Genomic DNA, 14,360 nt, shown 5'->3' with positions numbered 1-14,360 from the left:
ATAGATGAGAGAACAGGTTTGATTTTTGAACAAATTAAATTTGAGATACTTGTGGGATATCCTAAAAAGAGATCCAAGAGATAGCTGTATAGATGGATCTGTGCTCAGAGAATTCTCAGCTGGAGATACACATTTGGGGATTATTTGCATATGGATAGAAAAAAATACCATAGGGGTGAATGAGTTCACTCCAGGAGACTCATGAAGTAAGAAGAGAACCAGGCAGGAACTCTATGGACAACCAAGAGTTAAGGGTGATAGAGCATTGTTTAAATCACAGTTTAATTCTTGCCAATGAAAGGGAAAAGAGAAGTATGTATCACTATGTCATTTTTAATCAGTAATGAAAACCTTGGTATCCCATGACTCAAATAGAAGGTAAGATCTCTAAAAAAATGTGTGGGAGTAATCGGGGAAATGTTCGCAAGATGGTCAGTATTAATTAAATGCAGTATTTGTTGAATTTACTTTTCCCTGTGCTTTCAGTGCAAAACTAAACAAAACCTTAAAAAGCCTCATAGTTTCAGTGTGGTGAATGAATACCTAGAAATGCAAGGTTAGATTGAAAAACCCATTATATATTTATTAGCAGTGTTGTTTCACTACCTTGTCATCAATGTTCAAGAACAGTACTGCAATGGAAAGCTCAAGGGAAATGCAGGAGCTTTATACAAAGACATATTCTTTAGCCTTTGATAAGGTTCTACAGTGATAATTCTGGAAAAAGTAAAATGTCATGAAGCAATGAACAAAAAGAGCTTACAGGATAGAAAGCAAACCAATAACAAGAACTAGTATCATTTTTGGCAGGCAGGTCAGTGAAGTAGGAAGATAATTTCCTACTGGTGACATGATTTCCATGAAGCTAATTGCCTACAATGCCAATTATGGTGAGAAGCCTTAGACTAGGGCAATCGCGACCTGTGAAAAAGGAATTCAATACTGAAAAGACCAGATGCTTTGGGTAAATAAGTGATTACCTGAATATAAGTTAGATACCCTTGTGAGAAACATTAACTCTTCAGGCCAACAACGTACCACCAGAGGTCCACTCCCAAATAACGCTCTGTGTCTTCCAAAGGGCCTTACAACCAAACCAGCACACCTATCCAAAACGCAGCTTCCACACACCATGGCTCTGTGTATTGAAAGGAAGACAAACTGAATGAAGTTCATAAAATAAATTCCCCATCTCACTCATTTGTCAGAGGGAATATCTGCCAGTATTCTCTGCAATACAGGACTCTGCTTACCCGATTTCTACAGGGAGCTCTGGACTGCCTTCCTGATTCCAGCCTCTGTCAACCTTTTCTCTCCCTCCCTTTGCCAACATTAAAAAAGAAGTTAACAAATGGATCTAATTACCACAGTGGTTTGAGGCTTCTCAACGTTTTTTTTTTTCCCCTTCCAGCTGTAAAGATGTCCTCAGACTGAGCTTCACATTCAGAACTGCTGTCAAACTCTCACTTTAAGGGGCACTTAAATTTAATGTCAAGCTGATGCCTGCGGAAGACCTTGATTAAATTTGCAGAGTAGACTCTAACTGAAACAGAACTTTAGAGTTGTCTCATTTCACCCTTCAAGCTTAAATCCCAGAAGTTTTCTTCTCTTCTTTGTAAAGAATTACAAAGTTTGCTTGCAAAGACCCTGAGTATCAATAAGACAGCAAAGTGTAACAAGCAAAACACCCTGCATGCTTTTAGAGACAGAAGAAATCCCTTAGCTTATTAAAATTCTATGTGAATTAAAGATCTTTCCCATTGCTTTATTCCATTCCCAGCTCATTCGAAATCTATAACTATTTACTTTTATGACTCTATAATATTATAAGCAGTCCTAAAAAGTTTACTTAAAACCTTCCTAGTGTTCTTTCATGCACATGGCAATTAAGTTTTGTACTGTATGGACAGAGTGAAAAACATTATGGAAAAACAACTTGAAAGAAATGTGACAGAATTTCTCCTAACAATGTCATTGCTTCAACCAGCTACAAATTTCCAACCTAGTTTCTTTCTTTTGCTGTTTCTTCTTTTGTCTTTGATACAATCATACAGCCTCTCTTCCTTGAAGAGATAATAAAAGACTAACAGTTAAAAGATCTGGAAGACTCATATTCTTTTCTTTTTCACTGGCTACGGTTTTGAAAAGAGGCTGTTGGCTTTTGATTTTTTCTTTTGGGTTCTTTACATCGCCCAATTCAAACAGGTCTGCTCTCAAAGAAAACAAATCAAAATTGTCAAGACCTGTGAAGCATGAAAAATAAATTGCTTTTTCCAACTCCAAAAAGCACCAGAAAAGCATTAATTTTGATCTTTTATAAACCTCTATCCCCTATCCTCTAATCTATAGATTTCACAGAATGTTTATATATTCTTCTGTATAATACAGGAGATCAAACCTTATTATGAATAAATTGAATTGAACCTGTAATACAACTAATATTTAAACTAGTGTTATTTTGGAGTTCAACTAGACACATATAAAACATTCAAGTGAGATGACACAAATTCCTGGGGCTGCCAGTATAAAATAAACAGTCCAGTAAGCTGCATCTACCATGCCGTTAAGGACTCTGTCCTTTTAGCTGGTGGGAGCACAGGCTTCATAAAAGAAGGAGAACATGAAGCAGTAGAAAAAGACAGCCTTGCAAAATGCTGCCAGATACAAAACATTCTATCAGAAAATTTCTCATTGAACTACAGTGGCGAGAGTGCTTCTAATATCTCCCTTCTTTTAACACAGCGAAGACCTACATTTCTATGCTCGGCTTTCTAAAGCTAACTTAATTCTGTGGTTAAAACAGCTCCAGGTAGCACTTGTTCTTTTTTTTTTTTTTTAAAGAAGGACTTGTGGTTTTGCAGTCCATGGATAAAGTGGTAGGCAATCATCAGATTCCTGTTGAGAACGACAAATGATGAAGGGAGTAGCAGATGGTTTCAGAAGGCAGAGATTTATAGGGGTAATTTGTAGTGGAATAATACTATTTTCTGAACTAGGTAATAATAATTCACCAAGACAAGTAAAAGTTTAGATAGATAGTATCTCATTTAATTATATGTTGCTAAATATTCCAAGAAATCTTTGACTCAGAAGCCTAAAATGAAAACTCAATTAGTTGACATTTTTAGTTTCTGATGATCTGATCCTGTTTAATCCTTTTCATCATGATGCAGTTTATCACATGATTAAAAATATGGTGCTGCTAACAGTCTAGTTTTCTGAATACAATGTGCTCTTTTCAATTTAGTTACTATCTGATTCAAAAGGATAAAAGTATCCCTCTTTACCAGGAAAAGAAGACAGAAATAGACGAATACTTTTCACATATTCCAAGGTAATAGATGAGGAAGAACTATGTTTCAAACAGGGTTTCCTGAGCACCCCAAATCCTATTGGTGAGTGAGTAGAGCCCCAGGAGGAAATCACTATTTAGATGAGGGTATCCACAATGGCACTGCTCCACAAGGCATACGTGCCAGGGATCATCAACTTCACCTTACTCCCTTGACAAAAGCAGGCAGAGAGAACAGGGCATTGATCTCGTATGTTTGTAATCATCCACAACATTTATTAAATTCTATTGCTGGCACTGAAAGGAGGGGGTTACTATAAGTATCACTATTCATTGCTCAAGTAAATTAATTTAATTTACCAAATCTATTTGGTAATTCACAGCAACTACAGAAGTAATAAGGTATGGAAGTTGGAGGGTAAAATAAACACTTTATTTTATATGTACAACCTTCTTGCTTGGTAATTGTCTATTCTTCATGAACCTGTCCCCAGAGTAATGGCAGCAGATAAGACGTGCCATTATTTTACATAATAAAATATCCCTATTATTCCTTAATAAATATAACTGGCTATACTTTATGTTAATTCCCAAGTCACAGTTCACTCAGGAGGGTCTGGTGCCACTCAAAGGTGCCTGATGTAGAATAACCACAAATAGGTCAACTCTTAAAAAAAGGTAAAGAAAAGTTTAAAATCTTCATTAGTGATCAGCAGTGTGTTGGATACTCCAAATTACCATTTTAAAACTGAAGTAATGTCCAATCTGTTACGACATAAGACTCTCCCAATTATACGCAGACACTGTCATGTACACTTTGATATTTATTAACAAAAATGGTCCAGAAAAGGATTGAGTCAAAATTACAAAGTGATTAAGAGTTAAAACAAAAGTTGTTCTTTATTGTAGTTTCTGGGGGACTTTAACCAGTCCCCAAAGCTGTTTTTATCTCCTAAAATAGGACTTAAATGACATCACTCAAGTGACAGATTTTAATAGAAACTCCTCCTCTTTCCTTCTGTCAAAGCAAAATATAGTGAAAGTCTCTGTTGTTACCTCAAACCTCCTTTCCTAATAAGTGTGCATGCCTGTAGATGGATTGGGATGCAGTGAAGAGAGAAGTTAAACAAAAAGGTTAAAAAAAAAAAAAAGGCCAGGCACAGTGGCTCACAACCGTAATCCCAGCACTCTGGGACGCTGAGGTGTGAGGATCGCTTGAGCCCAGGAGTCTGAGATCTGCCTGGGCAACATAGGGAGACCCCCCACCTCTACAAAAAAAAATTGAAAAAAATTATCTGGATATGAGGTGCACACCTGTGGTCCTAACTACTTGGGAGGCTGAGGTAGGAGGATCACTTGAGCTGGGAAGGTCAAGGCTGCAATCAGCTGTAATTGTGTCACTGCACTAAGCCTTGGTGACAGAGTGAAACCCTTTTTCAACAACAAAGGCAAAATCTTAAAAACAGGAAACAGGCTATTGAGGAAAAAGGGTTATAAAACTGCCTAAGAATCTTCACTAAAGTAATCTTCTAGTCCTTCCATATCCATTTCCAGAGAGGAATTTAAAGAGGCCAGAGCAGATGATGCATCCTTGGTTTTCTGGACACTTGGTTTGGGTTGAGGAGTTTCTGGTTGGATAGGTTCCTTCTTTATGTCTTTACCACCATTTAGAATACGTTGGCTCTCACAAAAGAACTGATTAGGATGATTCAAAGAAAAGCCACAATCATCCACCTGTAAAGGAAGGAAATTTATATTGCATTAATGCATGGCAAAGCTATAAATATATGAGTTTCAAAAGCTGTTTTAGTACTTGTTTAAAACTTAATACCTGAAACATGGATTCTAGCTGTTTGCATTCTAACACTTAATCAGCTACTTACACCATTTCATTCAAAGAGAGCTTCAACCACTACCCAAACCTAAATGGCTCCCACATTTATATTTCTAGTCTGAGCCTCTGTGTTTGGCTCCAGTTCCCTATCTAGTTTCAGTCCCATATCCAACACCTACTCAACATCTAAGATGGCTCAAAGGCAGCTCAAACCCAACAGGAAACGTATCCTTTCCCCTCTCCCCATCCTTTGCTCTCAGTGATTGGTATCACCATTCATCCTTGGGGCATACTAGACACCTTTCTCTCACCTCCCCAGCCCCCAACTCCCACCTGCCACCTCCCATCTACACCAAGCCCTCAATTCTGGCAATACCCAAAACATTACCAATTCTGGTTGACAATTACGTCAAAACAAAAAATTAGAAAACTATAAAAATATGTTTGGAATACAAATGTGTGTGTGTGTGTGTGTGTGTGTGTGTGTGTGTGTGTGTGTGTGTGTGAATGACATTGTATGTTAGTGAGGCACAGGTTAGGGACCTGTGTGATTCATTATTGTATCCCCAGTTCCAAGCAAAAGGCCTACCACATTGTAGGCCAGTAAATATTTGTGGGTTTTTAAGTGATCGTAAAATCATTTTTGATCATTTTGATACTGGTCCCTGATACCACTTGTGTTTTAGAGCTGACTTGTAAGTCTGGCATATGCACTCATTTAGTATGATATAAACTGAAAAAGCAACCTAAGTCAATGTAATTCTTCATTCTAATCTTGGCCTTTCCTTGGTCTTTTTACAGAAAATCTCTTCTTGTAAATTTCACTGTGACTGAATACAAACATGCCTGGTTCATAACTTATGTTATTTTTTCTCAAATACTATCATTAAACTTTAATTTTGAGTATCATTTCAAATTATGCACTCTAGTAATCTCTCCTTATATTCAGTTTCACTTTCCACAGTCTCAAATCCCTGCCTTCTCGCCTTCTGCAGTTGGAGTTGACAACAAAAATATCATTTTGCTTGAGTGAGTGACTGTTGGTTTCTTGGGTGGTATTTTCATTTATCAAGTTTTTGGAAACTGAGAAGTTATTCCATTTCTTTTGTTCATCTGTCTTGTATTAACTAATCCTTTTACGTCTCACTCTTCGTACTGAAGTGACTTGCACACTGTAGGTATCTAATAAATATTTGGTGAAGTGAACCCAGAAATAGTGTATACCAGTGATAATTTTGCATATTTAATTAAAGCCTTACTATATAAAAGACTGTGTTATAAACTATTCACTATTCAGCATACAGGAATACATTTGACTAACTCAAATTTCCAACCCAGTAAGTCATATACTTAAAAACCTCTACCAAGAATGGAGAACTGATGAGGGTCACAGATAAAGGCCTATTACACTCCACAGTAGAGAGAAATTTCGGCTGAGGAGATCAAGGAAGGCTTTGTAAGAGGAGTGCTATTTGAGTTGCGTCTGGAAAGATGGAGAGGGTGAAAAGCTGGGATGATGAGGGGAAAGGCAATATTTGCAGCAGGACCACATGAGCAAGGTAAAGAGGGAATGTCCTGGGAAAGCAAATATTAAATAGTTCACATAGCCTACTATGAAAGGCACATACAAGGAAACAATAAGGAATGAGGTTGGAAAGACAGGCAGGGGCCAGCCTGAGAGAGCCTTGAAAATCAGGGTAAGTGGTCAAGACCTAATTCTCTAGGCAACACAGAGTCACCAAAAACCCTTAAAAAGAGACGTGGTGTGATTAAAGCTATGTATAATCTTTTAGTAGATTAAAATGAATTGGCCAGGGAAAAAGGGGTTGCTGCCATGGTCTAGAATGAACCCTACTGGTGGACGGACCAGCAGACAGAAACATGAGTCTTTTCTGGTAATACTTATCTAAGCACCCTAGGAATCTCTGATTCTCTTTTGCTAGTTGTTAATACATGTTAGGCTAATTTTATAGTAATTCCAGTGTGTAACAGATGGATAGTATACAGACTGATTTTAAGAGTTATAGATCATTAAGAACAAATTTTTATCTTTGCTTCATTTTTTTAACTTAGCTGCTTGATTTCAAAATGTTTCTGAAATGTTTTATAATTTTTATTAACAATGGAATCATTTGTGAACTTTTTTATTACATTCAATTTTCACCCAATTCATTAAAAACTGGGAAATCCAATATAAATTTTGCATTTTGCAATGTGTTTCACAAAAAGTATGTTTATTGTCTAATACATTTTAATCAGAAGGCTTTACAGTTTGTAAAATAGTTTGTAAACAGAGAATCAGAGATTAGAAAGACCTTGGGGAATCCATTAAATTCAATCTCCTCCATGTACAGAGGCCTAAGGAGAATAGATGGTTTATTCAAGGTCATAGAATTAGTAACTGGTTTTGTCTGAATTAAAATTCAGGCCTTCTGACTAGATCATTAGTTGCTCTGAAATCTGTTTTAAGAGATTGTATGCAAAATCATACTGATAATGATATCTCCATTATAAATTTTATTTCTAGAGATAAACTTGGCTACAAAGATTAGAAAAACATAGTTGTACTATTTCATGCAAAAATAACCTAGTATCTTATGCTATAATAATATCTTGGCATTTTCTATACCTCGCTTCAAGTTGTCAGTTAGCAATACATTTATTAGACTTCAATGTGCACAAAATAGGGTAATCTTTTTAAAGTCTGATTTTCTCCATCTATGAAATGGAGATAACAGTGTTAGGTCATAGGGTTGCCATGGGAAAAGTAAATAAAAATGAATGTTAAAAAAAATTGTTCTATGAAATCTAAATAAAATGTTTTTAAAGAGTCAAGAAAAGCAAGTCACTTAAAAAAAAGGTGAAAGTCACAGAAGGAGAGGGAGAAAGATCCTATTGCTTTGCATATATCAAGTTCCTTTTCTACTTTAAGGAATCCAAACTGGAAATTGCTGATGCTGTATTATGGGTATAGTTTATAAAAGAAAGATAAAATCAAATTCCAAACACTAAACGATACTCAAAAGACCCTGCCCTAACTAATAAATGGCATTTAAATGACTTAACTTTAAGATATAATATTTAAGGGGCTGGGCGTGGTGGCTCACGCCTGTAATCCCAGCACTTTGGGAGGCCGAGACGGGCGGATCACGAGGTCAGGAGATTGAGACCATCCTGGCTAACACGGTGAAACCCCGTCTCTACTAAAAATACAAAAATTAGCCGGGCATGGTGGCGCGTGCCTGTAGTCCCAGCTACACGGGAGGCTGAGGCAGGAGAATGGCGTGAACCCGGGAGGCGGAGCTTGCAGTGAGTCGAGATCGCGCCACTGCACTCCAGCCTGGGCGACAGAGCGAAACTCCGTCTCAAAAAAAAAAAAAAAAAAAAAAAAAGATATAATATTTAAGGTATGTGCATATCGTTAATGAATCCTCATTTTAATTAATATTTTTTAAATTATACTTAAAGTTCTGGAGTCCATGTGCAGAACGTGCAGGTTACATAGGCATACACATGCCATGGTGGTTTGCTGCGCCCACCAACCTGTTATCTACATTAGGGACTTCTAATGCCATCCCTCCCCTAGCACAACCCCCCCAAACAGGCCCTGGTGTGTGATATTTCCCTCCCTGTGTCCATGTGTTCTCATTGTTCAACTCCCACTTATGAGTGAGAACATGCAGTGTTTGGTTTCTGTTCTTGTGTTAGTTTGCTGAGAATGATGGTTTCCAGCTTCATCCATGTCCCTGCAAAGGACATGAACTCATCCTTTTTAATGGCTTCATAGTATTCCATGTTGTATATGTGCCACATTTTCTTTACCCAGTCTATCATTGGTGGGCATTTGGGTTGGTTCCAAGTCTTTGCTATTGTGAACAATGCCACAATAAACATACGTGTGCATGTGTCTTTACAGTAGCATGATTTATAATCCTTTGGGTACAACCCAGTAATGGGATTGCTGGGTCAAATGATATTTCTGGTTCTAGATCCTTGAGAAATCGCCACACTGTCTTCCACAATGGTTGAACTAATTTACACTCCCACCAACAGTGTAAAAGCATTCCTATTTCTCCACATCCTCTCCAGCATCTGTTGTTTCCTGACTTTTTAATGACCCCCATTCTAACTGGCATGAGATGGTATCTCATTGCAGTTTTGATTTGCATTTCTCTGATGACCAGTGATGATGAGCATTTTTTCATATGTTTGTTGGCCACATAAATGTCTTCTTTTGCGAAGTGTCTGTTCATATCCTAGGCCCACTTTTTGATGGGATTGTTTGTTTCTTGTAAATTTAAGTTCTTTGTAGATTCTGGATATTAGCCCTTTGTCAGATGGATAGATTGCAAAAATTTTCTCCCATTCTGTAGGTTGCCTGTTCACTCTGATGATAGTTTCTTTTGCGGTGCAAAAGCTCTTTAGTTTAATTAGATCTCATTTATCAATTTTGGCTTTTGTTGCCGTTGCTTTTGGTGTTTTAGTCATGAAGTCTTTGCCCATGCCTATGTCCTGATTGGTTTTGCCTAGGTTTTCTTCTAGGGTTTTTATGGTTTTAGGTCTTACGTTTAAGTCTTTAATCCAACTTGAGTTAATTTTTGTATAAGGTGTAAGGAAGGGGTCCAGTTTCAGTTTTCTGCATATGGCTAGCCAGTTTTTTCAAAACTATTTATTAAATAGAGAATCTTTTCCCCATTGATTGTTTTTGTCAGGTTTGTCAACAAGCAGAAGGTTGTAGATCTGTGGCATTATTTCTGAGGCCTCTGTTCTGTTCCATTGGTCTATATATCTGTTTTGGTACCAGTACCATGCTGTTGTGGTTACTGTAGCCTTGTAGTATAGTTTGAAGTCAGGTAGCGTGATGCCTCTAGCGTTGTTTTTTTTTTGTTTTTTTGCTTAGGATTGTCTTGGCTATGTGGGCTCTTTTTTGGTTCCACTTGAAATTTAAAGTAGTTTTTTCTAATTCTGCGCAGAAAGTCAATGGTAGCTTGATAGGGATAGCACTGAATCTGTAAATTACTTTGCGCATTACGGCCATTTTCACGATATTGATTCTTCCTATCCATGAGCATGGAATGTTTTCCCATTTGTTTGTGTCTTCTCTTATTTCCTTGAGCAGTGGTTTGTAGTTCTCCTTCAAGAGGTCCTTCACATCCCTTGGAAGTTGTATTGCTAGGTATTTTATTCTCTTTGTAGCAGTTGTGAATGGAAGTTCACTCATGATTTGGTTCTCTATTAGTGGTGTATAGGAATGCTTGTGATTTTGCACAGAGATTTTGTATCCTGAGACTTTGCTGAAGTTGCTGATCAGCTTGTGAAGTTTTTGGGCTGAGATAATGGGGTTTTCTAAATGTAAAATCATGTCATCTGCAAACAGAGACAATTTGACTCCCTCTCTTCCTATTTGAATACCCTTTATTTCTTTCTCTTGCCTGATTGCCCTGGCTAGAACTTCCAATGTTGTGTTGAATAGGAGTGGTGAGAGAGGGCATCCTTGTCTTGTGCCAGTTTTCAAAGGGAATGCTTCCAGTTTTTGCCCATTCAGTATGATATTGGCTGTGGGTTTGTCAAAAAATAGCTCTTACTATTTTGAGATATGTGCCATCAATACCTAGTTTATTGAGAGTTTTTAGCATGAAGGGATGTTGAATTTTGTTGAAGGCCTTTTCTGCATCTATTGAGATAATCATGTGGTTTTTGTCATTGGTTCTGTTTATGCACTGGATTATGTTTATTGATTTGCATATGTTGAACCAGCTTTGCATCCCAGGGATGAAGCTGACTTGATCATGGTAGATAAGCTTTTTGATGTGCTGCTGGATTCAGTTTGCCAGTATTTTATTGAGGATTTTTTGCATCGATGTTCACCAGGGATATTGGCCAGAAATTTTCTTTTTTTGTTGTGTCTCTGCCAGGTTTCAGAATCAGGATGATGCTGGCCTCATAAAATGAGTTAGAGAGGACTCCCTCTTTTTCTGTTGTTTAGAATAGTTTCAGAAAGAATGGTACCGGCTCTGCTTTGTACCTCTGGTGGAATTTGTCTGTGAATCTGTCTGGTTCTGGGCTTTTTTTTTTTGGTTGATAGGCTATTACTGCCTCAGTTTCAGAACCTGTTATTAGTCTATTCAGGGATTTGACTTCTTCCTGGTTTAGTCTTGGGAGGGTGTATGTGTCCAGAAATGTATCCATTTCTTCTAAACTTTCTAGTTTACAGTATTCTCTGATGGTAGTTTGTATTTCTGTGGGATCAGTGGTGATATCCCCTTTATCATTTTTTATTGCATCTATTTGATTCTTCTCTCTTTTCTTCTTTGTTAGTCTTGCTAGCAGTCTATCAATTTTGTTGATCTTTTCAAAAAACAAGCTTCTGGATACATTGATTTTTTGAAGGGTTTTTTGTGTCTCTATCTCCTTCAGTTCTGCCCAGATCTTAGTTATTTCTTGCCATCTGCTAGCTTTTGAATTTGTGTGCTCTTGCTTCTCTAGTTCTTTTAATTGTGATGCTAGGGTGTCGACTTTAGATTTTCTTGGTTTCTCTTGTGGGCATTTAGGGCTATAAATTTCCCTCTAAACACTGCCTTGGCTATGTCCCAGAGATTCTGGTACGTTGTGTCTTTGTTCTCAATGGTTTCAAGAACTTATTTATTTCTGCCTTAATTTTATTATTTACCCTGTAGTCATTCAGGAGCAGACTGTTCAGTTTCCATGTAGTTGTGCAGTTTTGAGTGAGTTTCTTAATCTTGAGTTCTAATTTGATTGCACTGTGGTCTGAGAGACTGTTAAGATTTCCATTCTTTTGCATATGCTGAGGAGTGTTTTACTTCTAATTATGTGGTCAATTTTAGAATAAGTGCAATGTGGTGCTGAGAAGAATGTATATTCTGTTGATTTGGGGTGGAGAGTTCTGTAGATGTCTATTAGGTCCACTTGGTCCAGAGCTGAGTTGAAGTCCAGAATATCCTTGTTAATTTTCTGTCTCGTTGATCTAATATTGACAGTGGGGTGTTAAAGTCTCCCACTATTATTGTGCGGGTGTCTACGTCTCTTTGTACATCTCTAAGAACTCGCTTTATGAATCTGGCCACTCCTGTATTGGGTGTATATATATTTAGGATAGTTAGCTCTTCTTTTTGCATTGATCCCTTTACCATTATGTAATGCCCGTCTCTCTTTTGATCTTTGTTGGTTTTAAGTCTGTTTTATCAGAGAATAGGATTGCAATCCCTGCTTTTTTTTTTTTTTTTTTTTTTTGCTTTCTGTTTGCTTGGTAAATATTCCTCCATCCCTTTATTTTGAGCCTATGTGTGTCTTTGCCTGTGAAATGGTCTCCTGAATACAGCACACCGATGGGTCTTGACTCTTCATCCAATTTGCCAGTCTATGTCTTTTAACTGGGGCATTTAGCCTCTTTACATTTCAAGTTAATATTGTTATGTGTGAATCTGACCCTGTCCTTATGATGCTAGCTGGTTATTTTGCCCATTAGTTGATGCAATTTCTTTATAGTGTCGACAGTCTTTAGAATTTGATATGTTTTTGCAGTTGCTGGTACCAGTTGTTCCTTTCCATATTTAGTGCCTCCATTAGGAGCTCTTGTAAGGCAGGCCTAGTGGTGACAAAATCTCTCAGCATTTGCTTGTCTGTAAAGGATTTTATTTCTCCTTCGCTTATGAAGGTTAGTTTGGCTGCATATGAAATTCTGGGTTGAAAATTCTTTTCTTTAAGAATGTTGTATATTGGCTCCCACTCTATTCTGGCTTGTAGGGTTTCTGCAGAGAGATCCGCTGTTAGTCTGATGGGTTTCCCTTTGTGGGTAACCTGACCTTTCTCTCTGGCTGCCCTTAACATTTTTTCCTTCATTTCAACCTTGATGAATCTGACAATTATGTGTCTTGGGGTTGTTCTTCTTGAGGAGTATCTTTGTGGTGTTCTCTGCATTTCCTGAATTTGAATGCTGGCCTGTCTTGCTAGGTTGGGGAAGTTCTCCTGGATTATATCCTGAAGTGTTTTCCAACTTAGTTCCATTCTCCCGGTCACTTTCAGGGAGAATCAAACATAGGTTTGGTCTTTTCACATAGTCCCCTATTTCTTGGAGGCTTTGTTCATTCCTTTTCATTCTTTTTTCTCTAATCTCGTCTTCTTGCTTTATTTCATTAAGTTAATCTTCAATCTCTGATATCTGTTCTTCCGCTTGTCAATTCGACTACAGATACTTGTGTATGCTTCATGAAGTTCTCTTGCTGTGTTATTCAGTTCCATCAGGTCATTTATGTTCTCTAAACTGGTTATTCTAGTTAGCATTTCCTCTAACTTTTTTTCAAGGTTCTTAGCTTCCTTGCATTGGGTTAGAACATGCTCCTTTAGTTCGGAGGAGGTTGTTATTATCCACCTTCTGAAGCCTACTTCTGGCAATTTGTCAAACTCATTCTCCATCCGGTTTTATTCCCTTGCTGGTGAGGAGTTGTGATCCTTTGGAGGAGAAGAGATATTCTGATTTTTGGAATTTTCAGCCTTTTTGCGCTGGTTTCTCCCAGTCTTTGTGATTTATCTACCTTTGGTCTTTGATGTTGGTGAACTTTGCATGGGGTTTCTGAGTGGATCTCCTTTTTATTGATGTTGAAGGTATTCCTTTCTGTTTGTTAATTTTCCTTCTGACAGTTAGACCCTTCTGCTGCAGGTCTGCTGGAGTTTGTTGGAGGTCCACTCCAGACCCTGTCTGCCTGTGTATCACCAGTGGAGGCTGCAGAACAGCAAAGATTGTGCCCTGTTCCTTCCTCTGGAAGCTTCGTCCCAGAGGGGCACCCACCAGATGCCAGCCGGAGCTCTCCTGTATGAGATGTCTGTCGGCCCCTGCTGGGAGGTGTCTCCCAGTCAGGAGACATGGTGGTCAGGGACCCACTTGAGGAGGCAGTCCCTTAACAGAGCTCGAATGCTAGGCTGGGAGATCTGCTGCTCTCTTTAGAGCTGGCAGGCAAGAACGTTTAAGTCTGCTGAAGCTGCATCCACAGCTGCCCCTTCCCCCATGTGCCCCATCCCAGGGAGATGGGGATTTTATCTATAAGCCCCTGACTGGGGCTACTGCCTTTTTTTCAGAGATAATTAATCTTTTTTTATTAACCACTAAAACAGTGCCAATGGCCTTGAAGTGAGGATTTGTGCCATGGCTCTGTGATGCTGTTTCTCCTTTCTCTTGATCTGCAATTGTCCTTAACTCATTTTGTGATGCTCTTTGTG

At 38.1% G+C, this 14,360-nt stretch overlaps 1 protein-coding gene across 4 annotated transcripts in view; it reads right to left on the bottom strand.

Annotated features, from left to right (window-relative positions):
• The window catches only part of PRIM2 (DNA primase subunit 2), a 425,311-nt gene continuing 415,054 nt past the window's right edge, over positions 4,104–14,360 (bottom strand). For all 4 annotated transcript variants that reach the window (XM_047418987.1, NM_000947.5, XM_047418993.1 and 1 more), the window contains one exon: positions 4,104–5,026. In XM_047418987.1, the coding sequence (XP_047274943.1) occupies positions 4,796–5,026 (231 nt within the window). In that variant the 3' untranslated portion in view covers positions 4,104–4,795. The remainder of the gene's footprint in view (positions 5,027–14,360) is intronic.

This window comes from Homo sapiens, chromosome 6 (assembly GCF_000001405.40).
Source record: "Homo sapiens chromosome 6, GRCh38.p14 Primary Assembly".
NCBI classification, from domain to species: domain Eukaryota; kingdom Metazoa; phylum Chordata; class Mammalia; order Primates; family Hominidae; genus Homo; species Homo sapiens.
Note: the sequence above shows the minus strand (reverse complement) of the source record. Positions and strands in the feature narration are given on the sequence as shown.